This window comes from Homo sapiens, chromosome 11, assembly GCF_000001405.40.
Source record: "Homo sapiens chromosome 11, GRCh38.p14 Primary Assembly".
NCBI classification, from domain to species: Eukaryota; Metazoa; Chordata; class Mammalia; order Primates; family Hominidae; genus Homo; species Homo sapiens.
The window spans coordinates 119,896,976-119,924,701 of record NC_000011.10 but is presented as its reverse complement, the minus strand read 5'-3'; the positions used below and the strand labels follow the sequence as shown (position 1 = coordinate 119,924,701).

General features: G+C 48.5%; 2 long non-coding RNA genes across 5 annotated transcripts in view, besides 4 other annotated features; one reads left to right on the top strand and one right to left on the bottom strand.

Annotated features, from left to right (window-relative positions):
* The window catches only part of LOC105369526 (uncharacterized), a 45,817-nt gene extending 26,461 nt beyond the window's left edge, over positions 1-19,356 (bottom strand). For 2 of the 4 annotated variants that reach the window (XR_948082.3, XR_948083.3), the window contains exon 1: positions 18,980-19,356. This is a non-coding gene — a long non-coding RNA (uncharacterized LOC105369526). Of the gene's footprint in view, positions 1-5,166; positions 5,243-11,005; positions 11,408-18,979 lie in introns of all 4 variants that reach the window. The other 2 variants (XR_948081.3, XR_948080.3) reach the window with 2 other exon arrangements.
* Positions 2,444-2,944: an enhancer, noted in NCBI's record as "H3K4me1 hESC enhancer chr11:119792467-119792967 (GRCh37/hg19 assembly coordinates)". NCBI's record gives its function as "activates a minimal SCP1, AML or CMV promoter by ChIP-STARR-seq in primed H9 embryonic stem cells {active_cell/tissue: H9 hESC(primed)}" and the evidence as "EXISTENCE:reporter gene assay evidence [ECO:0000049][PMID:30033119]".
* Positions 2,945-3,445: an enhancer, noted in NCBI's record as "H3K4me1 hESC enhancer chr11:119791966-119792466 (GRCh37/hg19 assembly coordinates)". NCBI's record gives its function as "activates a minimal SCP1, AML or CMV promoter by ChIP-STARR-seq in primed H9 embryonic stem cells {active_cell/tissue: H9 hESC(primed)}" and the evidence as "EXISTENCE:reporter gene assay evidence [ECO:0000049][PMID:30033119]".
* Positions 4,447-4,946: an enhancer, noted in NCBI's record as "H3K4me1 hESC enhancer chr11:119790465-119790964 (GRCh37/hg19 assembly coordinates)". NCBI's record gives its function as "activates a minimal SCP1, AML or CMV promoter by ChIP-STARR-seq in naive H9 embryonic stem cells {active_cell/tissue: H9 hESC(naive)}" and the evidence as "EXISTENCE:reporter gene assay evidence [ECO:0000049][PMID:30033119]".
* Positions 16,699-17,202: an enhancer, noted in NCBI's record as "H3K4me1 hESC enhancer chr11:119778209-119778712 (GRCh37/hg19 assembly coordinates)". NCBI's record gives its function as "activates a minimal SCP1, AML or CMV promoter by ChIP-STARR-seq in primed H9 embryonic stem cells {active_cell/tissue: H9 hESC(primed)}" and the evidence as "EXISTENCE:reporter gene assay evidence [ECO:0000049][PMID:30033119]".
* A 2,463-nt stretch (positions 19,357-21,819) lies between the features above and the next one.
* LOC124902772 (uncharacterized) lies at positions 21,820-26,049 on the top strand. Its single transcript, XR_007062922.1, has 2 exons — positions 21,820-21,900; positions 25,888-26,049. It is a non-coding gene; the product is annotated as an uncharacterized LOC124902772 (long non-coding RNA).
* Positions 26,050-27,726: the final 1,677 nt, after the last annotated feature.

Sequence of the window (27,726 nt, the reverse complement as noted above, 5' to 3'; positions counted from 1 at the left end):
GGAGGGCAAATACATGTATTAACCTACTCTCTAGGGCCTCCTAAGCAGGAGGTCAGAATCACCTATGAATAGCTATAACACCAATCATGGTGGTTTAAATAGCAGATGGATGATGCACATTAACAAATCCAGGTGCACATAGGATAGAAGGGGTCAGAGCCCACTTCAAGAGGAGGTATTCACTCTGAGATTTGAGAGAGAAATTTCCTTTCACTAGACATAAATGGAGTGGTAGAGGGAGCAGAAGCAGAGTTCAGGCAAACGCTGGAAAGCACAATGTGGGTTGAAACTGGTAAGCAGTCCGTGCAATCATTCATCACACAGCCGTGTCCCCTAGGGTCTCTGCCAGAGTTGGGGTGTTTCCTGCAGAAATGTGTTCAGCAGCGGGTCACAGAAAAACAACTAGAGAGGGCTAGCTAAACGGGAGGGGCGTTGCTGCTTGTTTCCACATCCCCCTAATCCACAGTCTAGAGCCTGCAGCTCCATGATGTCATGATGCTCCTGCTCCCTCTGTCCTGCCACTGTCTTTAGCATGTGGCTTATTGTTCATGGTCACAAATGGCCACTTCCTCTATGGCCTCTGATCATGGGAAGGAAAACAGAAGTGGCAGTGGTTATCTTAGGAGAACACAGCTTTCCCAGGAACCTGCCCTCCACTGGCTGAGACTAGTTGTATGGCCACCCCTGTCCAGAAAGAAGCTAGGAGTCAGTTGGGCATGTTGCCACCTCTCGCAAAATTGGGGCTATAGTATAGGAACAAATAGGACTAAATGGTAGATAGGAAATGGGCAGACTTTTCCAGGAGATCCCACTGCAATGGGATGGTGTCTGCCTTCAAGGAGCCCCCAGTCCAGTGTATGGCCACATGCAAGCTGGTCATTTCTATGACAGGGTTGAGCACCGGAGGCTACCTGAACCTTAGGCAGGACATCAGAGGTCCGTGAAACCTGAAGAAGTAATTAGCCAAGCCTGGGAGGAGAGGGAGGGTTGCTGGGAGTCCTTGGGAGGGGATAACACTGTCAAAGGCCTGAGGAGATTGGCCTGGTTACAGAATCAGAGGATCACAGAGGCCAAGGCAGTGCCAGACTGAGAGTTAAGAATGGAAAATAACAGGAGTGGGGCAGAGCATCAAGGAGCTCTTATGTCCCATTCAGGATTTCTGACTTTATCTTTCAGCCAGAGAAGAGTCACTGAAAGGCTTAGGCAGGGAAGTGACATGTCAAGTATGTACTTTAGAGTTCAGAGGAGATATAAATTTGGAGATGCCACCATATAGCTGCATTTAAACCATTTCAGGCCATGTATCTGGCTGAGATTACCAAGGCGCTGTGTGTAGAGAGAAAAATAGGAAAGGCTCAGAGGCTGAGCCCTGGGCGCCTGCAATGTCAAGGAGCTGGTGAGATGAAGGGAAACCAGCACCAGAGACAGGAGAAGCCAGTGAAGATGGAGGAAAACCAGGACTGTGTGGGTCTTGGACGTTGGTGAAGAAAGTATTTCAGTAAGAAAGGAGTGCGGTACTGCCAAATGCTGCCGATAGGTCAGGATGGGACCTGAGAAGCCACCACTGAATTTAGCACCAGGAAAGGCAACAATGGCCTTGACAAGAACAGCTAGTTAGAACGGCAGGGATGAGACCCTGAATGGTCTAGAAAAGAGTGGGAGGAGAGGAGTTTGGGAGAGTGAGGGTGGACAGATCTTTCAAGAAGGTTGCTGTAAGTTGGTGGAGGAAGAGGTGGGCACATTTTTTTTAGGACAGGAGAAATAAGAGCAGGTTTGCATGCTGATGGGGGTGGACTGGGAGAGAGTGAACAATGGATGATGCAGGCTCAAGCAGGGCGAGTGCCCAGGGCATGTCCTTGAGCAGGCGAGAGGGGTCAGATCTGACACAGGCCAGGAGCATGGACAGTCCCTGCACAGAACCCGAGTGAGGTAGAGGAGTTGAAACACACGTGGGAGGGAGGGCAGTTGCAGGGGTGGGAGTTTGTGAACATTCTTTTTGATTGTTCCATTCTTTCAGCGACTAGACAGCAAGGTTATTTGTGGAGATGAGGATGGAGGGGGAGGTGGTGGAGGTGTAAGGAGAAAGGGGGAGGTATGACCACTCATCTGGGAAAGCGTGAGAATGAATGGACCAGAGAAATGATGTATGATGCCAGCCGGCAACCAACGCCCACTTGAGTTTAAGGCTCATCGATTCAAAGTGGGCCTGTCAGCACACTTGGGGTATTGTTCTCCAGCCACACTCTGCTCACAAAGGTGTAAGCACCACAGAGGGGGAAAGTTGGATTTAACCCCGTCGAGGTTTTGCTAAGCAACTGGGAAGTAAGAGGGGCAAGGGATGAGAGCGTTTGCAATGGGGTTATTACGACGATTGGTCAGGAAACTGTAGCAGGTTAGCAGGTATGCTGGGATAGTAGAAGGGAAAGTGGACAGGTGATAGGACTGACAAGTTACAAGTGGGGCTGGAAGGTGATCCCTGAAGGAGTGAACTGAAGTCACTGGATGTGGGGGCTGGAGAGTAGAAGGCTTAAGCTGGAGACTACGGAACCGTAGAAAGGGGTGATAATGACAAAGCCAAGGTGGAAGCTGGGGGGCAGTTGAAGACAAGCTCATCAGAGGAGACGAAATCAAAATAGGAAAAGGCCAGGCTGGGGGAAGAATCCCCATGAATTATGCTGGGGAGGACTGGGGAGAATGACAATGATCTAGAAACCAAAATATTCAAGGAAGGTGGGGAGGCCATGGGGGTCCAGAGATGGCTGCAACCAGGAGGGGAAGGGGGTGGTGTGGTGGAGTCTTCTGACTTGAGATTCAAATCTGGGTGTTTTTTGGGGATGAGAGGATGGATATTGGCCGGAAGCTGAGCAGTGCAGAGCCAGGGGACTCCTACTCCACCTCCAGGCCCTCTGGCCTCCTGGCTTCCGCCAACCCCTGTGCGAATCTCCTCCAAGCAACTCCCCTGTGCCAATCTCCTCCAAGCGACTCCCCTGTGCCAATCTCCTCCAAGCGACTCTGCAGCCAAGTGCTGCCCACAGCCTGGGGTGCAAGGAGCCTCACAGATAATCATCTCCGAGGCGCTGAGGCATTCAAACTGCAGGAGGATCAGAGTTTGCTAATGTCGCAGTAACACAGCCCTGGGGATGACCGTTCATTCTGGGAACCACTGAGGCAGCTTATCTTGCAATACATCACGCTTCTACAGGAGAAGTTTGGACGCCAAGTGCCTACAGGATGGAAATTAAAGAGGAAAAGGGCTGGGAGTGGGGGGCAGAGATATTAAAAGAAAAAAATCAGTATCAGGGCCTATTTTTAGGTCTACTGAAGTAGAAAACATGTGCTTGGACTGTGAAAACCCAATCACTATGCAAGCCCCCGCCTTCAGCGAAAGGCCGGGGGTCCCTGGTTGCGGGAAGCCTGCCATTCGTTACTTTTGATTTACTGAAGCGCAGACAAGAGGTGCTCACATGATACATAGCTTGTATATTCTATCGATTTCCAAGACTTCATTTTCTAAACTTCCCATCCATCAGCCGCATCTGTGCCTGCTCTCCCCCAGAGATAAAATAGGGGATGGGCCACCCCACCTTGCAAAGCGTGGCAAGTTTTATGAGCCTGGAAGATTGGAAATGGGGGCTTGATTCATGTTTGCTTCTGCTAACAGGTGAGGCCGGATGCCTCGCCGTAAAGCTGAAAGGTGGGGCGCAGGGGAGAGAGTGGCTGCGCAGCAGGGGAACGAGCACCCCTGAAGCCCAAGCAGGGCCGAGGAGGAGCGAGGCAGGGTTGTCAGGGAGGAGGCTTGTGCTCTGTGGTTGTTGTCCCCCGCGGAAGCCGTCCTGGATGCTGCTACTATGAACACGTTGGGAGCTGAATAAGCAGCATGAACACTGCCCACATTCACCATCGGCTTCTGTCCCGCAGCAGAAGGGCCGGATGGTGCCACTGCTGCTGGCCCAGGAGCCCCCAAGAAAAGAGAACCCACTCCCCACTGGCTGCCGTAAGAAGTGATGGTGCCCCCACCGGAAGACACGTTGTTCTGCGCATATAAGGAAACTCGGGTACCCACGTACCACCCTAATTCCTCTTCTCCTGCCAATATTCTCAGAATGGAAAAGGCAAGCATCTGTGATGTTACATCCACCCCCAGCCCCCACCCCCCCATTTACAAAAAGATCCTTTCGGTTTTTGCACAGATCTCATCCCTAGGGGTTGGGATGGAGGAGAGTGGAAAAGCTATTCATTGTATCCCCTTTGAGGCTGAAGCACAAAGGGAGGCAGGCTGGGCTGAGGGCTGCTGGGGCCTTTGGGGGAATAAAAGGCCCACACTCCCTCGTTAAGGGTTCAAGGGTGCCTTGTCTTTGTAGGTTGCTGGAGAAGCTTTGGCTGAGACTCTCACATGAGCTCAGAACAGCCCGTGGCAGGAGGGGAGCCGGTACCCCAGGAGCTGAGCAAGAAACAAAGCATCCGGAGCCCGGGTCCAGCTCAGCTCTGTAGCCCCTGGCTGATCTTCCCATCTCCCTGGGCCTCAGTTTCCCTCAGGGAAGAATTTTCCCACCTCTCTTGGGTATTGGGAGGCATCCAGAGAGTCTCCAAAGTAACAATTTTACAAATAAAGGAATTATCAATGTGATTGATGGTTTAAATTGAGCCTTGGGATCTCTGCTGTTTAGAGGCTGGATCAATAGCAATAACAACAATAAGTAGAGAATAACTCAGGAGAGAGTTTATAAAGGACCCCATGGCAGCAGGGCCAGATCATTCAGAAGCAGAAAGAGTCTTCTTGTTTTGCCCACACCGGCTCGGCCACCAGGCTTGCTCTGGGGAGTGGCTGCCCTGCTGCTTAGCCGGCCTGTCTGGGGGCCATTGCTGCTCCAGATGGCATTTCAAAGGGAACCTGGCTGTGCAGGGGACAGGTCGGGAAATGAGGAAATATGGTGAGCAAAAGAAGTTCCCCAGAGGCCCCGCATAGTGCCACAAGCACAAGACGTAGCCAAATGAAATGCTGTCCAGAAGCCCACAGATCTTTCCCCAGATGTGAGAGAGCCCTGGAGGGTTAGGGACAACTTGGTCCAGCATAGGATGGACCAGCCACAGCCTGAGCCTCGCCCCGGCAGCTTCCAAGAGAGAGCAGAGGTGCTGGAAAGGGCACAAGAGCAGGAACTCGAGGACCTGGTTTGCATCTCAGCTCTGGCACGTCCTTGCTGGTGACTCATTGCATAACCTCCCTGAGCCTTGGTCTTCTTGTCTGCAAAATGGAGAGAACAATAGCAATCTAAACAGTTGCTACAAGATCTCAGTGGAGAGAAGATTGGGGAACCTTTCTGCAAAATAGTCAGAGTTTTTATTGGACAGTTACAAGGGATGATGGGCAGTATCCCAGGAATACCTTCCTTCCCTAGATATTTTTGCCACTCTCTAGTTGCCATAGGACCAGCATTTCTACATTCATCCTTACCAAGGTAGAAACCAGTCTAGAGATGCAGCTCTGGTGCCACTTACTTTGTATCCCCTATCCCCACCTCTGCATAGTGACTGTAGCAGGTTTTTATACTTTGGGGGTTGTCTCTAACTTTCCTGCTGAGTTACAAGCCCTTGTTGACATGTGATGGGCACAGTTCCTGGCACATGACCAGTGCTCCTGGGTACCAACCACTCAGTACTTACTTGTTTGTCAGATGCTTTTCCTCCAAGAGAAGAGAGCTGATATAACAGATTGGCAGAGAGTGCCTCAGGTGCGATGAGAAAAAGTCTTTAAAGGGTGCAAAAAGCCTACAAAAGGAATCCAACGGGGATGAAGACAAATGCCAGGGGCTTAGAGAATTCTTTCTGGAAGGGGTAGCCCTGGGCAGGGTCTCAACCACAAGTTATCAAATCCCAGCCCACATTCCTGCCCCTCAGCTGTTGAAGAGAATCGACAGTCTGAGGACCTTATTGATAAGCTTTCTGTCCAAGAACAAACATCACAGAAATCAGCAGAGGGAAATGTCTCTTGTGTGTACACTTGGCAGAGGAGCTGAGCAGAACACGGACCTGGGTCACGTCAGAATCTATCCCTTCATGATGCCATTAAATGGAATGTTTTCACACATGATAACTGGCTGTCTTACAGAGCGGGGCACAGTTCTAGGCAAACACATGTTCACACACACTCCCACGTGTACACACACAGAACACGTGGATGACCACAGGCATATGCAAGGCATGCTTGAACAGTAATTCAGACAATGAAACTTCTGGGCCCTTGAGCCAGCAGGGAATTTCAATCCTAGTAATAGATTACTGTCCCTGACCGACCAGAAGTCTGGGCTCTTATAATGGTTTTAAATCATAGAATTATAGTTTTTAGGGGCTGTAGAAATCAGCTATTTCCACCTCCAACCCAGAGCATACAAATCCTCTCCGACATTCCTGATGTGTTGACACATAGCCTCTGCTTAACACTCCAATGATGGGGAACCTATTACCTTACCTCAAACCCTACTTGATTGTTGTTATTAATAATGCTACTGTAGATTATTGAGCACTGATGCTGTGCCTGGCACTATGCTAAACCCTCTAGGTAGACTATTGCAATTAAGCCAGTGAGGTAGCTTAAATTGAGTCTCAGAGAAATCGAGCTGTCCGTGGTGATGCATTTAGCATGCGGCAGAGCTGGGATTTGAACCTGGGACTGAATGACCCATAGCCTTGCACAGCACTTGTCATATTAATGTGTCTTAAGTTTTGTTGTATAGGAAATCATTCTTCAGAATAAGCTGAATCCTCTGCTTCTCTGTAACTTTCACTGACTGATCCCAGGTCCCAGCTCTGGAGCTTTGCAGAGGCTTCCCTCTGTTCCTTTGCCCCCTCTCCTTTGATAGCCATTTTCAAATATGGGCCCCCAAAAGGATTCCCAGTGGGATATCACCTGCTTTGTTTGGACATTACACTTCGAGTGTGAACCTAAGATGCCATTGGCCTTTTGGGCAGCAACATGACATCATAGACCATTTTAAAGAAACTGCGGGGTTTTATTTGGTCTGTCTCCCAGGCGGGAGTGCAGTGGTGCAATCATAGCTCACTGTAGCCTCAGAATCTTGGGCTCAGGAGGTCCTCCCGCCCCAGCCTCCTGAATAGCTGGGACTACAGGTGCATGCCACCACACCCAAGTAATTAAAAAAAAATTTTTTTTAGAGATGGGGCCTTGCTATGTTGCCCGGGCTCAGCCCATTTTTAACATAAACTGCTGTAGGCTACTTTAATAGTTAAGTAAAAAATACATTCTCAGCCTATTATTCCACTACTTTTAGGATCTTTTTGAAGTTGTAGTTTGTCAGCCTGTACTTTAGCCAGCCTGGCAGCTTTGGGACATTTGCAAATTGGGTAAGATGCCTTTCTATACCTAGGAGATGATTACAGCCAGGCTGATATTTAAGGGCTAAATTTCTCATATCACCCACTAGAGACCACCTAACTAGTGACACTGATCTCTTGTGTGTACACTTGGCTGAGAAGCTGAGAGAAACATGGATGTGGGTCATGTCAGAATCTACCTCTTGATTATGCCATTGAACAGTATGTTTTCACATAAGATAACTGCATATCTTATGGAGTGGAGCATGGTTACAGAAGCATTACATTGGTTCCAGCATCAAATGCCAGCCACGGCTGCATATTTGGACTGAAACTAAAGATATGTCAGGGGTTGCTTCTGAAGATTTAGAGGGCAGGGATCAGTTCCAATCCAGGAGAAAAGGGTAAGGTCAAGGGAGAAATGCCAAAGTTGGGAGACCTCACACCTGTCCAGGGGGCAAGAGTGCACCTGAAGACAAACCCAGGTCTTGACATCAGGTCTGCAAAAGACAGTAGCTCAGGGAAGTATATACCAATGTTGGAGCCTGAGACATGTACCACTCGTGGGAATGCACAGGCACAAATGAGGCATTTCAGGCAATGTCCACACAAATTCCAGAAGACGGAATGCTCCTGGCCTGGGGCTCCTGCTACAGGCAGGTACACTCAACTTTCCTGAGCATGCACCTGGCTGTTCTAAAGGTACCACTTGGCTTGTTCCACCCAGTCTCTGGTCAACTTTGGATTTACTGGTGTGAATCTACCTAATTATATTATTTAGTTCTCATTTCTTCATTTTGCTCACAGGGATATCTTAAACTGGAGTAAAATAATTTTCTGAAGCTGAAATGCATTATATCTAGGGTATTCCCCTTGTATTAGTTACAATATGTTTTTCTGCAGGTTACAGAAGCCCTAAATCAAAGTGGTTTAAACAATAAAGAAACTGATGGTCTCACATAATAAGAAGCCTAGAGATAGATGCAGCATCAAGGTTGGTTGATTCAGTCGCTCAATGATGTCAGCAGAGACTCAGATTCCATCCATCTCTTGTCTACCATTTATAGCATAATGTGGTTCCCCTTAGGCTCTTAAGGTTGCTGCCAGAGTAATTGGGGCAACATACTTTGTTCCCATTCAAGGAGAGAGACAGACTGGATTCTCTTTCTCCCCAAAGCCTCAAGCAAGTCTGTCTTCATGACTCATTGGTTCAATCAGCTTAGTGGCCCAAAATGAACCAATCACGGGGGGTGGAAATGATGTTGGAAAATGTTTGCTACATTCCAGATGCTCTGGTCCAACCATGCTCTCAATAGAATAAATGAGCTCATTTGACTTGGCTCATGCTTAGTGAACCTATGCTGGTTCCTGATACTCACCATTTCTCTAAGTGATCACAAACCATCTATTTAATGACTGTGCTAAGGCTTTACCAAAGATGATAGACTCTAGGGTCTTATATTTGGAGACAGCATTTCTCCTTCTCTCTCTATCTCTCCCATTCTCAGGATTTTTTCTTTTTTCTTTTCTTTTTTTTTTTTTTTTTTTTTTGAGGCAGAGTCTTTCTCTGTCACCCGGACTGGAGTGCAGTGACGTGATCTTGGCTCACTGCAACCTTCACCTCCTGGGTTCAAACAACTCAATTCTCATGCCTCTGCCTCCTGAGTAGCTGGGATTACAGGTGTCAGAATTTTTTTAAGATACAGGCTATCACTCTGTCATCCAGGCTGGAGTGCAGTGGCACAATTATATCTCACTGCAGCCTCACCTCCAACTCCTGGGCTCAAGTGATCCTTTTGCTTCAGCCTCAGTCTCTTGAAGCTGGGACTACAGGTGTGTGCCACCATTCCTAGTTTTTTAGTTTTCTGAGATAGTGTTTGATATGGTTTGGCTGTGTCTCCACTTAAATCTTATCTGGAATTGTAGCTCCCATAATTCTCACATGTTGTGGGAGGGACCTGGTGGGAGGTATTTAATCATGGGGGCAGGTCTTTCCTGTGCTATTCTCATGATAGTGACTAAGTCTCACAAGATCTGATGGTTTTATAAAGGTAAGTTTCCCTGCACACGCTCTCTCTTGCCTGCCACCATGTAAGATGTGCCTTTTCTTCTCCTTTGCCTTCCACCATGATTGTGAGGCCTCCCCAGCCAAGTGGAACTGTGAGTCCATCAAACCTCTTTCCTTTATAAATTACCCGGTCTTGGGTATATCTTTATTGGCAGCATGAGAATGAACTAATACAGCATCTCACTATGTTGCCCAGCCTTTTCTCAAACTCCTGGCTTCAAGCAATCCTCCTGTCTTGGCCTCCCAAAGTGCTGGGATTACAGGCAGTTTGGGTATTATTTAAAGCAGTGGTTTGCAAATGTAACTGTGCAGGAGGATGCCTGTGGTTCTTGTCTGGAGTCCATGGGCCACTAGGCCATAATCCACTAGGCCACATATCCCAGTGGTTAGGAGCATGGCTTCTGGAGCTAGACTGATGGCCTATGCTCAAGTTCCAACTCTGCCACCTTCCATGTCCCTGGCCATTCAACTTCTCTGGGCCTCAGTTTTCTTATCTCTAAAATAGAGGTCATATAGAATCTCCCACATAGGATTGTTATGAAGATTAAAGGAGAGTTATGTCTACATTGTCTAGAACAGTGTCAGGGAGTCGTACGCATGTGTTCACTAACTAAATGCTGATCCCCACCCTAGAGTCTGACATTATAAGTGGGAGAGAGAGTTGGGAAGGCTGTGCTCTTGCCAAGCAGCTGTGTTGGGGATGTGGGGGTGGGATTCTGATACAGGTGACCACCCTGGAGAAACCCTGCCATAGCGAGAACTATTAGTGTGGCCACCATCCTGCAAGAACTCTTCTTGAGCTCTAGAATAAAAGACATTTTTGGCTGGGGAATAAAAATCTCGAACAACAACAAGCATGTTCTTGCTACTGCCTCATCTTATTTGGGCTTCAGTTCTCTCAGCTGTATTTTTTTCTACTTTCTCCAGATCAGGGAATATTGTCCTTGACAGGAAACAAGCAAAGTGGGAAGATTGCTTTGCTCAAACCTCTCTCAACATGATAATGTCCACCATAAAGAGAGGGGCTCGCCCCTTGTTCTTCTTGCTTCAAAAATTTTCAATGTGCCCATTTTTATTGTTGCTGGCACTGCCAGCTCACTGTGGACCACGGTGCCCCTGGTACCCTTCACACAGGTCTGTGTCATGTTTATGTCTTCCTGGGACATAGACACTGGCCCCACCGCTCCATACCCTGCAAGCCCCTTTATAATCTGAGCTCAGGACAGGGCTCCTTGGGTATCACAGTGTTTTTCTATGACAATACCTTTGTTTTCTTTATCAGCTTCATTTGTGATTATAGCACCAGAACTCACTGTTTGAGATGCTCTCAGCCCTCCTGAGCCACCTTACTTTTAGAGCTCCTATCTGTGGGATTGCAATGGTCTTTTTCTGAATCTAGGCAATGCTACCTTCTGAAATTCGACTATCCAATCCAGCTAGGCCCAGCTTGCCCTCCTTGTCCCTTATGAATGCTAAAATGACTTCTTCCAAAGCTTCCTGTCTCATGTATCTATTGCTGCATGAAAAACCACTCCAAGACTTGGTGGCTGAAAACGGCAGCTATCCATTTGTTCATGATTCTGCAATTTCTTCTAGGCTTCTGCTCACCTCATCACGGGCACCTTTGCAGCTGCCGTCAGTGGGTGACTGGGGGCCAGGCTTCAGCCAGGTACATCACTGGCACGCCTGGAGCCTCAGTGGGATGGCTGGGAGGCTCAGTCTGCCTCCACGTGTCTCTTACCCTACAGGAGGTTAGTGTGGAACTCCTTCCATGGTAGTCACAGAGCAGCCAGAGGCCAAGAACAGAAGCTGCAAAGTCCCTTAAGGCCTGGGCTCAGAGGTCATGCAGTATCACTTCTACAGCATTCTGTTGGTGAAAGTAATTTGTGTGGCCAGCCTGGATCAAAGGGAGGGCAACGTAGACTCCACCACCTAATGGAAGGAGTTGCAAAGAAGGAGCGGCCAGTTTTCATCGATCACACCTCTTTTCATTCAGCCTATTTTGAGGGCCTGTATTGAGGAGACAATAAAGAACATGGTTAAGATCTCTGGAAAGAACTCACAGCCTAGTGGAAGAAATAGAAAGCTAAAGAGAGCATCACAACACAGGCGAATAAGTAATACTAATGGCCGCCACCTTGTGTGCATTTGCTGCGTGCCAGGCACTGGGCTTCATCTCACTGAGCTTTCACCATAACCCTCTAGGGGAAGTATGTTATCATGCCCATTTTTCAGATGAGAAAATCAAGGCACAGAGTTAGGTATCAAAAGTGAGAGGCAGGATTTGAACTCAGCCAATGCCCAGCTCTAGAGCCCTTGCTCTTATGAGATACCATGGCTTTCCTGCAAGGACTGTAGAAGGCACTCCATCAACGTGCAAGGAGACGCGGCAGGAGAAAGAGAAGGGAACTCAGAGGTGTCTTTTCATAGCACACAAACAAGGAAACCCTCTGCCTTTCACTGCTGACCTCCTGGGCCTTTGGCAGGCTGCCTGTATCATCTTTATTATTATTATTTTTGGTTTTCCATTTTCTGTTTTTGTAACATGCCTGTGTCGTTTACCTGATTTTTTGTAGTTGTTTTATAGAGATGGGATCTCGCTATGTTACCCAGGCTCATCTTGAACTCCTGGGCTCAGTGATCCTCCAACCTCACCCTCCCCAGATGCCGGGATTACAGGTGTAAGCCACACTGTGCCCCCCCTTACCTGACTTCTTTCTGAGACCATGCACTAAGACCATAGCCCAGTGAAGCCTGGGACTGCATGACAGGTTTGAGAACAAAGGAGCCACCTGCTACTCTGCTACTCAACTGTCCCGGAGACACGTGATCAGGGGGAGAAATTGTTCCCAAAGCTACATAGGAAACCATGTCTCTGTAAACTCAGCCATGACATCAGCACCACGTCTACAAAGGCCCTTGCGTCTTCCTCCCACTCATCCTCCGCATTAACCAATTACCAAAAACAGCTCAAAATAGCACACGTCCCTTGGCTGGGGCTGCTGCAGGAATATTGTTTGTGATCATTTTGAGAGGGAACAAATCTGTTGGAAATTGGTGCAGTGAGAGGATTATTATCAGGCTCTCACTCCAATGCGGGGCTCTGATTTTAACCTGCCTGGATCAGGCCAGAACATAGATTTTGTGCCTTTTCCTGCAAGACATTCATGGGTGGAATGTGGCCACTTGTACAAGCTGTAGGCCTAAGGGTCAGCAAGGGATGACCCCCATGAGACACAGGGCACCAGAGGCTCCAGGGTGGGAGGCACCCCAGACTCCACTGGAAGCAGCTGCTCTGAGAAGCTGGCCAAGACACAGGAGTCATTTGGAGACTGTTTAGTGGCCTGGCTTCAATCTAGCCCAGTTTCTCCACACCCCAGTTCCCCAAAAGATCCCAAGGGACTCCTGCCCCCACCAGTCACTCATGGGCCTATTTTAAAATCTGTGGCAGCCATGTAAAGGGGTGCTTATTGTGAAACAATAAGAAAACAACAACAAAATAAACATCCATCAATAGGGTTACAGTTAAACTATGTTACCCCTGATCAATGCAACTCCATGCAACAATTAAATGAGTGAAATGGATCCCTCCATAAGGATGGAAATGATGCCAAGGAATATTGTCAGGTGAAAAAGGCAAGCCACATAAATTATCTATCTATCAAACAGTGAATCATCTATCTATCTCCCTCATCTATCTACCCATCTATCTATCTCTATCATCTATCTACCTACCTTACCTATCTAAACACTAACCTGACCATGGTCATTCCCTTTAGGGAGGGCAGTGGGACTGGGGAGGGCAGATGGTGGAGTTAAATAACGAGAACTTTTGCTTCACTTTTCTTGTTTGAATTTTTACAAGAATATATTCACATATTACTTATACAATTAAAAATGAAATCTATTTCCAAGCGAAACAAAGTAGAAGAGGACGATCCACTAACCCATTTCATTCCTGAACCCAGTCTTGGTCTATTTGGGTCTTCCTTCTGCCTGGGCACCAGTCCTGCTCTGGAATAGTCTGCTTGGTGCCGCGCCTCTCCCCATTGCCCCCTCCTCCCTCTGCTGCTGAAGGATTGCTCTTCCACCTGCAGGTCCAGCCTCGCCCCGGGCTCTGGAAGCCAGCTGGGAAAGTGCCGCTATCTTGGGTCTTGAAGTTCTGTCCTGGACCTTCAGTTCCATGGCCAGTGTCCTTGGGGACCACTCCCTATATAGACTCTGAGTCTCTCGGCTTGGATGTCCTCAAGTGCCTCTCCTGATGTCTCCCTTGGCTTTGGCCTCTTGCTGGGACCACATAGTCTGTATACTCTTTCCTGCCTCATTTGCAGGCTCCCCCATCCCTCCCTGGCAAAGCCAGGATGATGAGGGCGAGGCATGTGAGGTGCCTAGTCCTGGCCTGCTCCTGGAACTGGCTCCCCTATAGGCCCTGCTGGTATAAAAGCACCATTGGGTGGCCCCATGGCAGCAACAGGTGGAAGGGAGTGTGGGCTCTGCTGCCCAGAGGCTTAAGCTGGGCCTCCTCAGCCTGGAGTAAGTAGCCTGCATGAATTTTTCAAGGACATGTATGGGTTCAGGGGCCCTAAGCCAACAAGTGGCCAGGGTGTTGGTTTCAGTCTCCTGTGAGGGACGTCCTGGGAGCACAGCCAGTGAGCAACCCACGTGGGGGTGGAGGAGCCAGCATGAGGCCCTCCCTGGGTGTCTCCAGCCCCTACCTGTCTGCTTAGACCACCCTGACCATCTGCTTCTGCTGACTACATCTGCAGCATGAAACGCGCTGGGAGGGTTTCAGGAGTGGGGCTGCCAGCATTGTTGTGCGTGACTATAGGGAGCTGTGTCAGGTTCTTCCTCAGAAAACTCTAGAAGAAAGGGAGCGCCTTCCCCTCAACTAGCTTTTCAGACTATTTTATCTGCAGCTGGGCTCAGCGGCAGAACAATGAATGAAATGACTCCAATGATAAACCCATGCCAGGACCCAAGCAGACACTGGGAACACAGGGTTGTGGTAGTAATAAGCCTGCTGTTCCCTGGAACCAGACCTTCTCCATCTATCCAGGTGCCCCTGGCTTATCAGCACAAACCTGAGGGCAGCCAGCCCCACCTGGGACATCATGACCTGGAGGAGACACCTGCCCTGCAGTGGGTTGGGCGGGTCCACACACACTGACTGCTTGCTCTAATATCAACGGAGCTGGCCTCTCTCCAATAATCATGGTGGATTTCCTTCTGCAGCATCATCAAGGAGGGTGTGCCTGGAATTCAAGCAGACTGCCCTCACACTCGGCAATACCCATCTGTCCCTTGGCCTCTTTCAAGTCCTCTGGTGATCATGATGAACTTGTCCAGGGCTCCGAGCATCTATTAATAAATAACGGTCCCTGAGATGACACAGTCCAATTAACAGAAACATGGCATTCAATGACGTGGTGGAGGTCGTGGGGGATGGCCAACTTTCACATGGCCTTACTCACTTGGGAGGTGAGGGTGCAGCACTGCAGCAGCCTAGGGCCCTTCCAAGGGCACCAGGGCCCTCATTAGACAGAGGAAAATCTCCAGAGACACAAAGAACAGACAGAGGGATGGTAACAAAGCCACTCTGAGCACCAATTCGCGTCTTGGGTTAGTAACAGCTGCCAATATCTTTTGCATAAGTACTGCTGGGTGGGTGTCTGGTCGAAGCCGACGCGTGGGTAGTGAAAGAAACAGTCAAATTGATGAGAGTTAAGAACTGAGGGTTATTTTGAACTCTTACATTTTTAATTTGAGTTTCCTTCTTTTTCTTGGGGGGGAAAAGAAAAGTTGTTTTTCCGTGGGTAAGCCAAGGGAAGTGGAAAGAGAGAGCTGGTGGAAGTGGCCTTAATTCATTCTTGGTGTGCTCCTTTTTCAGGATTGCTGCCTGGATGCAGGGGCATGGCCATGGAGACCTCTGGTGCCCTTTCCTTGGGCTGGAGGAATCCTGGATGGAGAATTCTAAGATGAAGAAGGATGCCCAGAAGGTTTGAGGGGAAACTTGTAGTCATGGTAACCATGCAATTCAGAATTTCCCCATGAGAGTGGGTGATCCCAGTTTGTGAGAGGCAAAATCTGAGGTTCAGAGAGATAAAGCCGGGCACCAAAATGTCTAGAGGAAAACCAGCACAGCAGTTCATGCTCTTGGGGTGAGGGTAGCTCCCTTTGCCAAGTGCCCCATGACCCTCCTATGCGGAAGGAAGGACAAGCAGGTAGCAGAGCTACCTAGAGCCTGGAGCATGCCAAGAATGGGAGAGCCATGAGGGTAGAGGCGAGAGAGAGAAAACATGCTCAGAGCAAACCTAACTAGTGTTTCCACTGAGGTCTAGGATGGGGAACAACCTCATGACAGAGAAAACAACTTTAGTTAACAATCAGACAAATGGAAGCAGGGTTGGGGTGTCTTGGAGGGCAGAACAACTTTATAAAGTATTTTCAGAATTCTTTTTATATTCAGGTCACACACACATTGGCTGGTTCTCGTTCCCCACGATTCCATCCCAGACTCCAAGAACTCTATCCCATCCTCTCTCGGCAAACAGAGTAAACACACACATGGTCAGTTCCCTAGACATAGGGTGCCTCCTTGCGCACTAGGACCTTGCCCTGTCCTGTGCAGCCCTGTGCCCAGCTGCTGTGCAGAGCTCAGGGAGCTCCTTCTTGCCCAAACCTAGGTATTCAGCAGAAATGCCACCGTCTCACTTGGCACCGAGCAAAGTGCTCTAATCCCGTGGAAGGCAGGGAAGCCAGATTTTAACTCAGACAATATTTAAGACGCCCAGGAGCAGAGACAAGCGAATGTTTGCATAAATGCCCTCCCACTGAACTTCCTCCCTGCCCATATGTCCCCTGGCTTTCACACTGCTGGGGCCGCCTTGTGGGTAAACAAGGGAGTCCCTGGAGAGGCAGCCAGCCCTCCTGGCTGCCAGACCCCCCGCCCCACCACCCAGCCCTGCTCCACCTCCCCAGCCCCTGTGCTCCTGCTCCCCCACCCCTTTCTCATCCCCCTTTATCTCCTTCCTCTCCATTCCCATTTCTGGACCTGGCTTAGCCCTCTATAATGACTTAATCTTGCCGACAGGGTGACAAGCGGATGAATCGAACTCTGAGGCTTTTTTCTGCACTCCAGATTCATTTGAAGATTTCTCCCAGATGCGGCACTAAAACCCTAGATTCAATTTCCCTTTGACATAATAACCGAATTAGTCTCATATTGTCATACATAAATTACTAGCCAGTCAGGGTGCCACCAGAGGGAGAGAGAGCTGGAGAGAAAGCGAGGCGTGAGCTTCCAAAGGGGTGTAACTGTGACAAGCAGGGACCTGAATAACAATGGAAGACCAGAAGGGTAACAGCTAATCATATCTGACAAACGAGGAGAATTCCCAGGCTGCGGCAAAGGTAAAGAGTGTTTACCTTCCTCCCCATGCCCCTGGCCATTAAAATGTCACCATGGGGAGCCTTGCACCTTACAAGAGATACACAGATCTAAATATCTTCTCAATTAAGCAATGCTCTGTTTGCAAAGGCTGCTTTCAAAGAGGAAAATATAATTTTGTGGAACTCCGTTGAAGCCTCTTGGCCTGGAGACAGCGCTGAGCTGAGCGGGGGACTTGCATAATGCCTGGTTTGGAGTACAGATGCCCATCCTGGGCCCAGGGGGCTCAGCCTGGCTGATTCTGAGCACAGAGGCAGCATCCCAGCCTTGCCTACCCAGGCCCTGGGGGTGATTGCAGGCCAGGAGTCGATTGCGGCCAGATCAGAGCCAGCTGGAATGAGGTTCTCCCACCTGTCCACCAGCCACCCAGTCCAGGCCAGAGCTCTGGGGGAGCTCCTTATGCCTGCCCCTCCATTTCCTCCAGCCCATCTGTCAGTTCTGGTCAAGTCTTCCTCCTAAAAGCTCTGGCCTCTGGCCTGACCTCTGCAAGTGGACGCCCACATTCCATCTTGCTGGGGCCAGTGCCACAGCATCCTGACCGGTTTCCCCACTTTCGATCCTATCTGACAACCTTTGCTCCACTCACCGCCAGAGTTTATCTTGCCAAAATGCAAATTTGATGGCAGTACTTCCCCCAGTTACAACCTTCTGGTAGCTCCCTAAATAGTAAAGTCCAAACTTCTCAGCGTTTCCTGTAAGCCAAACAGGACCTGGCCAGCTTGCCTGTTGCCACAGGCATAACCCTTGCCTAGCCCCTCACACCTCATTTCCCAGGCAAGCCCCTGGGATCTTTCTGAGCTGCTCCTTAGGCCTAGAACATCCTTCTCCTCCTTCACTTAAGCACCGTCTCCATGTAAAGCCTTTTCCTGTCCCCAGCCCTGGTCAAACCTATCACTGTTCTCACCGACCTCCACTGAGCCCGGCTTTCTCCTAGCATGGCCCCTAAAATGTTTTATTGCTGTTTGTGGTCTACTTTATCCATCTCTGTTGCTAGATATCAGGTTCTTTGAAGGCAAAGATGGGATCTTATTCATTGCTACAGTCCTCTATGCCTAGCATAGAGTAGGAATTTGATAGATGCTTGGAAAATAAACACTCAAGAAGGTGTGTGAAGCCAGCCCAGAGCAAACCAAGGGCTCTCATACTCCCCGCGCAGCTCTACGTGAGGGGTTTGTGCAGGCCCATCACACCCACCCCGTGAAATTTCAGTTTTTGTTGCATGCCTGCCATGAGCCCAGCTTGGGCTAGGAGCCATGTGACTTAGGACTTTTAGGTTCTTCGCCTGCGGCAGATGGTTAGTAAATGTGTAAGAGATTATCTGCTATGGGTTCTGTTCTCAGGAGCCTACCGCTTGTGGGAATAATAAAGAACAGGATACAATCAAGTATTCCACAAGATCGCAAGATCCTAGATAAGCAAGGAATGTATCCTATTCATTTCTACATCTCTGTCCAAGTTACCTGCATCCCCCAACATGGTCTAGCAGAGCCCCTGTTCAGTACAAGTTGTAAAACTATGGAAATAAATGTGGATTTCATCTATAGTTTATCCTAAATGTAGTTTGGGGGACAAGAAAAGACCTGTCAATTTGTCTTTAACTTTTTATTTGTATTAACATCACCACCTTCTTGATTTGTTTTCAATCCTGTATTAGAGAAATACTTTCCCTTTATGTTTCTATTTAATTTGTAGTCTTGCAAAATCTCAAAGACTTAAGTGGCTTTAGAGACAATTTATTAAATAGTTGGACTTGGTGGGAGTAGAATCAGGAAACAGCCTTTTGTCCTGTCACTACAGCCATTCAAACCAGCTCTCTGAGTGCCCCCTCCTCACCCCTGCTTAACACCCGCCCCATGGTATGCAGATCAAATCCCTTAACCTTTCAAAGGTTCTTGACTATTAACTCTCTCCATTCAATCCCATTATAAAAAAATCCAGATTGACCTAAATCAAAACTTCACTCTCTCATTCAATTTAAGGCTTCTCTCCATCCCACCCCGTCCCAGCCTAGAGAATCTGCAATGGGTAGGAAACCAGCTTGCTGCTCATTCTCCCTCCTGGCCTTCCCCTTCTTCCTCCCTCATGGTCTGTGCATACCCTGACTCCTTCAGGGTCAGGGCAGGGAGAAAGGTTACCTTTTTTTTGATTCAAGCTGTTGGTGGTTCTCTTTGGCTATTGAATGGCCTGGAAGATGTCCAAATGCAGGCTTTCTCCCATGTAGGTTCTTTAAAATATCCCTGGGAAAGCTCCACCAGGCAGTTCCCCAACAGGGCAATGGGCTCCCCACTGATCTCTCACGACTCCCCTCATCTCCAATGCAAGGGTGACCCACACAGCCTCCTTGGTCTCCTCTTCTAGCCAGTTCTCAGGGCAGCCATCTTTCAAGACAGCTCAAGCCTCGTTAATCTCTACTGGCCCATCCGGCCTTCAGGAGATATCCTAAGCCTTCAAACTCTGCCCACGCAGGCAGCTCCCAAGAGCCTCTCTCAGCTCCACTCCAGCAGAACTAGGGACAGGCCTCTGACTTTCTACAGCTTAAGTACCCAGCAGTGGGTGGGGTCAGGTTTCCCATTTGTAGTCAACACCCTCTTTCAATATGTGATTTTCCTGAAGCTTCCTTTACTTGGCTTGGAATGGACAGGGGATGGGAAACTCATTGTATTCCCCAAAAGACTCACAGTCTCAGGCCTTCTCTTACCAGGATGGGGTTGGCTGATGGGAGAGGGCTGTGAGCCAGTTTTTCTCTCTTGATAAGTCCGCGGCTACGTCTGACAATACTTCTATTGGGCAGGGTTCTGGTAGGAAATAGACAGCATACTCAAAGGGGTAATTGGACAGAGTCAAAGGGACTTTACAAAGGTGTGGGGAAAGTTCAGGGAGCCACAGGCCATGGGGAAGTATCTTGAATCTAAAAGGGCAAGGGCAATGGGAAGTTTCTGGAACTTTGGGAGATCTGGAGCTGTTGGACTGGTGCTACAGCCTTTAGCAGAGGGATTCAGCCACCCTTGGACCGTGACCAAGCAGAGAGGGAAACAGGGAAATAAATACCTTGGCCTCTCTCCTCCTGCCCTTGGATCTTCTGCAGGTGCCTCCCATTGGCTGAAGCCAGTGCAAAGCCTGAGGTTGAGGGAAGCCAGTTGATAATATTGGTAGCAGTCAGCCTGGCAGGACCAGGATAGAGAAGAATGGTGCTAGAGGGGTATGTTGGGAAATATCCAGTACATGCCCCTCTCTTTACAATGCGCAAGAACTTGTCACGTTTTCCTCTGCTCAGAGCTGCAATGACATGAGTGAAAGTCCATTTGACAACTAATAACCCATCGCACACTTGTCTTTATCTCCTCCTCTCCTCTCCTCCCAAAGGCATGGCATCTGCATCCCCAGTATAGACTGCAGAGAAGTGGGGAAGGCCTGGAGCCATGATGGCAGCCTCTCACCTTCTTCAAAGAGTGGCTTCCTTCTGAACCTGATCAACACTAAGGCCGCCCACGTGCAGACATCAGCTGAAAACCGCATAACCACAGTGCAAAGAAGATTGGAGTGAATGTTTGATTATCTGCCATTTGAGATTCTCTAGGCCTCAGCACCCCCATTATTAGCACACATAATTAAGAGCTGGCTCAGGCTTGCTGGCTGAGGAGCCCTTCAAGAGGCCGTGGCTATAGAAGGAAAGGAAACAATTGGGTCGGTGATGCCCAAGGTGGAGGCGGCATTCTAATTTGACTTTGGGGGCACAGGGATGAGACGCACGGTGTCCCCTCCCTCATTTGCTACTCTAAGGATTGCTAAAGGCGGTGTCCAGCCCAGGTGGCACGGGCTTGTGGGCAGGGCTGCTGATTGCTGCTGGCAACCAGACTTCTCAGGAGAGCTGGCTTCTCCGCAAAGTGAGGACTGACTTTGAAAGACTCATTCATCAATGTCAGAGCTCCTGCAGACAGGATGAGGCCCAGTGTGGATGGGAGTATACTCACCAACACATCAGCTTCTTGTCACACAAACAAACAATCATGGCTCATACACCTTAATGTTCACCTTTTCCTTTCCCACAATCAGGTGGAGTCAGGGGAGGCAAGGGGAGGGATTATGGGGACACAAGATAGGAGCGAGGAAGGGAGCACTGGGCAACTCAGTCACAGAGAAGCAGGTCCCCAGGGAAGAGCCTGCTGGGCCCACGGCCTTGCCTGGGAGGACTGGAGATGGTTTGAGGTCAGCCCATACTGCAGACTGTGGTATGAGACACCAGGGCCACCAGGCACCTGTCTAAGCTCAAGCTCTAGCTGCTGTGAGCTGATGGTTGTAATGATTAACTTTAGGTGTCAGCTTGACTGGATTAAGGGATACGCTGATAGCTGGAAAAGTGTTATTAGGTGTTTCTAGGAGAGGTTAGCATTTGAATCAGTGGACTGAGTAAGGAAAATCTGCCCTCATGCAATGTGGGCGGGCACCATCAAATCGGCTGGGAGCCCAGATAGAATAAAAAGGCAGATTCTCTGTCTCTCCCCTCTTGAGTTGCTCCACACATCTTCTCCTGCCCTTGGACATCAGAGCTCACGGTATCTGGCTTTTGGACGCTGGGACTTGCACCAGCAGCCTTGACAGCTTCTCAGGACTTCAGCCTCAGGCTGAGAGTTACACTGTCAGCTTCATATTTCTCAGGTCTTTGGATGTGAACTGAACCATGCTACCGGCTTCCCAGAGTCTCCAGCTTGCAGATGGCCTATTGTGGGAGCCAATTCCCCTAATAAATCCCTTCTTGTAGATACATGCACATATACACTGATATGGTTTGGCTGTGCCCCACCCAAATCTCAACTTGAATTGTATTTCCCAGAATTCCCACGCATTGTGGGAGGCACCCAGGAGGAGGTAACTGAATCATGTGGGCTGGTCTTTCTCGTGCTATTCTCGTGATAGTGAATAAGTCTCACGAGATCTGATGGGTTTATCAGGGGTTTCTGCTTTTGCTTCTTCCTTATTTTTTCTCTTGCTACCGCCACATAAGAAGTGCCCTTTGCCTCCTGCCATGATTCTGAGACCTTCCCAGCCTTGTGGAACTGTAAGTCCAATTAAACCTCTTTCTCTTCCCAGTTTCGGGTATGTTTCTATTAGCAGCATGAAAACAGACTAATACGTACACAGACACACACATTACCCTATCGGTTCTGTTTCTCTGGAGAACCCTGACTAACATGCTGGCTAAGAGCATAAATGTTTCCATCAGACAGACTTCCATTCAAATCCTGGCTAGGCTACCCCCTTGTCTTGTGACTTTGGAAAAACTGAGGCTCAGTTTTTCTGACCTGTAAAATGGAAATGATCAATCTCAAAGGCTGTGCTGAGGATTAAATGAAGTAATATATGCAAACTGCCTGTTATCATACTTGGCACACAGTCTGCAATCAATAAATGACAGCGTTAGCCATTATTGTTACTGTTGGCAGGCCCCCATTCTTCTTGCTTAGCCAAATCCCACAGGGTGGCAATCTTTGTCATTTATTTATCCAAAAACTGTTTACTCAGCACCTCTCATATGGCACTGGAGAAAAAGAGGCCTCAAGAAGCTCTAAGTCCAGCAATAGAGCAGAGGAGTAGAGCTAACAGCTGTGACATGGGGTGGCCACAGGAGGCTGTGGGAGCACAGATGAAACCTGCCTGGCCCAGGCAGGGATGGGTAGGGAGGCCTGCCTACAGGAGGTGGCACCGGAGCTGACTCTTGCAGGATGAGTGGGTGCACCCAGGCAGTCACATTGGGGAAGCCGTTCCAGGCAGAAGCAACAGCCAGAACTGATGAGGAAGACAAAGGAGAGTGGTGGCTTTGGAGTGGCCGCAGGTCAATGACAGGTGGAAAAGTAGGAGATGAGCTGAAGAGGAAGGCATCATGCTGGACAGAGGCATCTGGTTTGTATCTGCAGGAGCAGGGAATTCCAACAAAGGACAGCCAGGAGCAGAGGTCATCAAATAGCCCTCCTGGACATCATCATGACTTTGCCCAAGGTGGCTGAGACTTGCTGTCCTGGAAGCTGTCCAGGGAGAGCCCCAGGCCTGGCCCTGCATCGCCCACTACTCCCTGAAGTGAGGTCAGCCTGACCATCTGGGCATTGCTGCCTGGGAGTCAGCCCTAGGGGGCCCAGATTACCACTACTACCACTACCACCACCACCTATCTCCTCCTGGAAGCTGCACCTGCCTAAGACAATGCCTGGAACTTTGAAGGAAAAACAGCCCCGGTCCATCCATTTGCATCCACCCCTCGGAGGAGAAGGCCAGGCCAGAGTTGTGATTTGCCTAGGCTGCCAGGAACTGGTGGATCCTCTATAGAGGTGGCCCCCAGGCTTTCAGATGGCACATCTCTGCTAAGGGCACATTAACCTTCCTTGACTCTGACAATTGTCCTTCTTGGAGACAGCAGCTGAATCCACAATCCAGTTCTACATATGGGAGGAATGGAGGCCCCATTCCCTCTAAAGTTCTAGCTGATGCTGTTCGGTGACAGGCCAGCTGCAGCCTCCACGCTCTCTGAAAATTGGATGTCTTGAACAGCTTCGAAGTTCCACACTGCCTCTGCAAGTGACAAGGGCTACAGGCCAGAGAGGAAGGCGAAGTACTTAATAGAATGGGTAGAGGAGGGATAAGCATTTGGGACTAAATTTTTAATCCAAGCCCTAGGTGATCTCAGAAAACTCACTTAACCTTTTTGAGCCTCAGTCTCCTCTCCTGCATTACGGGGATGACTGCATTACTGGCAAAAATTTATTGTGACAATGATTGTCTATGTTTCCCAAATAGGGAACTCTGCCCCTGAGCCTACATGGTAATACGGTGAGAAGTACATATTTTCCTAAGGCATATATATTTTATCCAAAGATTTTAGAGACAAGCATATTTTAAAACAGATAAATATATATTCTGGAGAAGCATATAACATTTTAATTAATTATAAAGACAAAATTTGAATTATTAAAGAAATTCTACTTTGGCTAGAATCTGGGCTATAGCCAGACCTTGGGACCCTGCTTCCTGCTTCTCTGTCATTGGGGATGTGTGAACCAGTCCACTGAGAGGCCCAGCACACGGAATCCCTTTTGTGACACAGGGCAAGTGTTAATATCCACTGCCTGAGAGTGGAACATTCGAGGCTGTGTGTCTTTGTGGCCCATTTTGCCCATGAACTTTTTTTATTGTAACCACAACTATCTAGTCCATCTATCCATCTTTGATACAATCATAGAAAAACTATGGGCATCAAAGGATACTTCTCCTTGGAGAGTGAATATCCTGGGAATAATTCAGAGAAGAGGACGGGAGGGAACCAGCCAGGCTGGAGGAGATAAGCAGGAGGAGATGGGGCAATTGCTGGCATAGGAGACAGACACCTGGAGAATGATACGGGGGAAGGCGAAATCTAAGATCCAAGGGCCCCAGGGAAAAATGGAGGCAGAGCCACAGTATGGTGCGGGTCACACAAAGAGGGCTCAAGACCACCTGCAGCCACAGGCCAGGTGGGGAGCAGGAGCTGCAGGGAGGGAAATGATGGCCCATTGCTAAGTATGAAGATGACCTCTCTAGGTCTCTGACACTGATTTATCCCTGCCCTTTTATTGTAGACCCAGTTTAACAGTCAGTCCTCTGTGTCCCGTTGATCATGTTCTGCCAGGTTTATGGAAAAGCCATCTCAGCCTAGCCTCTGACTGTTCTCTTTCCTCAAGCTTAATACTGCTCAGTTTAGGGAACACAGCCATCTGCTTGCTGGAAGTGCATGAGCCCAGAGATGCCCCAGTTCTTTGAGTTGTGGCCTATGCGATCGAAACTGGGGAGGTAGAGACTGCATGCAGCTTTTATGAATAACAATGGTGAAGTATATTTAAATGTATAGATTTTTAGCAGCCATACAAATGTTGAAAGGGAGAGGGGAAGCCCATACCCCAAACTCCGTGTAATTCATTTTATTCCAACTGAAGTGCACAGTTACAGGCCTGGTGCTTGCCATCGATCAGTTTTGATCAAGTGGCTGAGAATAGTTCTTAATGCCTGAAATTCTTTTCTATTTTTTCTTTTTATTTTTTAAGTTCTGGGATACATGTGCAGAACGTGCAGGTTTCTTACACAGGTATACATGTGCCATGGTGGTTTGCTGCACCCGTCAACCTGTCATCTAGGTCTTAAGCCCCACATGCATTAGGTATTTGTCCTAATGCTCTCTCTCCCCTTGCCCCCCACCCCCTGACAGGCCCCAGTGTGTGATGTTTCCCTCCCTGTGTCCGTGTGTTCTCACTGCTCAATCCCCACTTATGAGTGAGAACATAATGCCTGAAATTCTTAAAAAAGACCTGTGGACTTTAGCAGGGGCACACATGATTTCTGCCTCCAGGTGGAAGAAGATACTTTCCCAGAACTCACCATTACCCAAAAGTGGGCCTCAGAGTCATGCATTACAAACTCAGGGGATACCGTGGGAGCCACAGTGATTAACTTTGGCACTTCAGAATATTCCTGCCATTGGACACCAGGTGATGACCTGAAAAACCTAAACCTTCATGTTCATCCAAATCTGTGAATCACTTCTGAAGCTGTCACTTTATTTCCAGCAAATAGCTCTGCAATTCTCTAAAATAGGGGATTCTACTGAGCCGAGGGCATTTCATCGATGGGAAATGAGCACAGTCTCCAGTTGTCATCTGCTCAATCCTCCTGTCCCGATGGAACATGAATGTCTACATGTCCTAGAACAAATCAGCAATGTTTTCCCCCTGCAGCTTCAAGTTCTCTGTGTTCAGATTTCTTCAGGAAGAAAATAATGTAATGAATCACAGGGAATCCAACACATTGGGTGAGAAAGCATTTGAATGAGTTTCTTTGACAAGTGTTCACCACCCAGCAATGGGATGGGCACAAGGACGAAGGAAATAAACCATCAGAGAATGTCCCCCTTACATCATGCGATCAACCTGTCTTGCGAAGTTTGCAACCCAGACTCTTCAGATGATGCATACTTTTTAAATTCGAATAAACTGTTAAAACTTCCTTTGTCTCTCTTTTCCTGCAGGTATACCATCAGAGAAAGAATGTTGATTTTCGCCTATCCACAAAGCTTGGCAAGCTCTTTACTGGTAGGGGATAAGGTCTTACTAGACTAAGTACATGAAATCATTAAGTAAAACAAAATGTTTCATTAAAAATGTCAAGTGGGCAGCTTAAGGTCAAGTGAGACAGATTTGGCCTAAAGGCTTTATGTTGTTGTGTACACTTACAGAAAAGAATCCATAAAAAGAGCTCAACTGGGAAGTTGAAAACACGTGTAACATAGATTACAAATTTCAAGGGGCCACAGTGTAAATTTCCTTAAGTTTATTCTATTTCTTTCAGGCCCTACACACAGGCATTGGGACCAACACTTCTTTTTATGCCTGACCCAATCTCAGCAAACATTAAGGGACCCCTGGGCACCAGTCACTATGCTTGGAACTTCCCTTTAATCTGCATACAGCCCTCTGAGATAGAGGTTATTAACCCCAATTTTATTGATGAATAAATAGTCTTATAAAGGTTAAGGGGCATTCAAGCCTCACTACCAGCATCTTTGCCTTTAAACCTCAGCTGCCTCTTAGTGTTTAGAAGGTGGGTAAAAATAGAAAAAATAAACCTCAGCTGCCTCCTATCACTGCCAGCTGGAGCTGGGACTGTTTAGATACAGCCTTGGGGAAACAATTTCCTTAGAGCATAGTTCTCAAACTTCAGGATGCCTACTTGAGAAACATTACAAAAAAAAAAAAAACAGATTTGGGGTTTCCGCAACTGATTCATCAGGACTGAAGATGAGGGCTGGTCGTCTGCATTTTCAGAAGCACCCCCCGTGGCTAAGTTGCAGGTGGCCCACCAAAGACCGCACTTTGACCTCCTCTGGCAGGACATCTTCTGCAATCACTCCTCTGCCTCCAGGCAGACACACCATACATACCAGCCCATCTTTGAAGAGAATGCTAGATTTTAGAAGCTCTTCCCAGGATCTTCTGGTCTGGTACAGGAACCTGGAGGCAGTCCTCACCACTTCCGAGGCCGAGCAAGGGAGAGGCAGGAAAGAAAGAGTGAGCAGGGCTTCTCTGCTCCTTCCAGGGCCAGCCCCCCAGCAGGAGTGACCTTTGCAAGCCTCACTTGTCAAATAGCTGATTCCCACCCTCTCTGCTGCTCATGGGGGCCGGAGCGGAGCGGCTCAGTGCTCCTCAGCAAGAAGGGTTCTGGCAACAATCCTCTAAGAAGGAGAGTTTACGGTTCTGTCTCTGACATTATAAAATTAATATACTTCTGAAGAGAGCAGGAGAGGACTTTCGGGGTAAATGTCTTTTTCTTTTTCCCCCCAGGGTAAAGGCCACTTAGCTCAAATTCAGTCAGCTGGCTCCATGGGACCTCGAAGTGTTTGGGGCTTAACTGTACAGGAAGAGAATGTTGTATACACAGCCCTGCTGCATTTTCTCACAATGGGTTCTAGCTCTTCCCTTGAGGCCTTGGGAAAGAACTGCTGGAGTCCTTTATGGCCAGGAATCCACCCTCTCCCAGCCAAGCTCTCCTTGCCTCCACAGCACATAGGAACTCATTTACTCATTCATCTCTCCAGCCAACCATTCCCCCACCATCCTTCCATTCTGCATGTAGCCAACCAACCTGCCAGCCAACATAGTTCTCACGCTTTCATTCATCAAATGTTTATCGAGCCCCTTCAGTGTACCAGGCTCACTGTTACAAAGCCAGAATCTGGAGCCATTGCTGTCTCTATGTGTGTGTGGACTCCAGTGGTTCTCAAACTTGGCTGAAGATTAATGTGGCCTGGAGCCTTTTAAAATCTCAGTCCTATTCATCGTGTTGGGGACACACAGATGAATAGGACTCC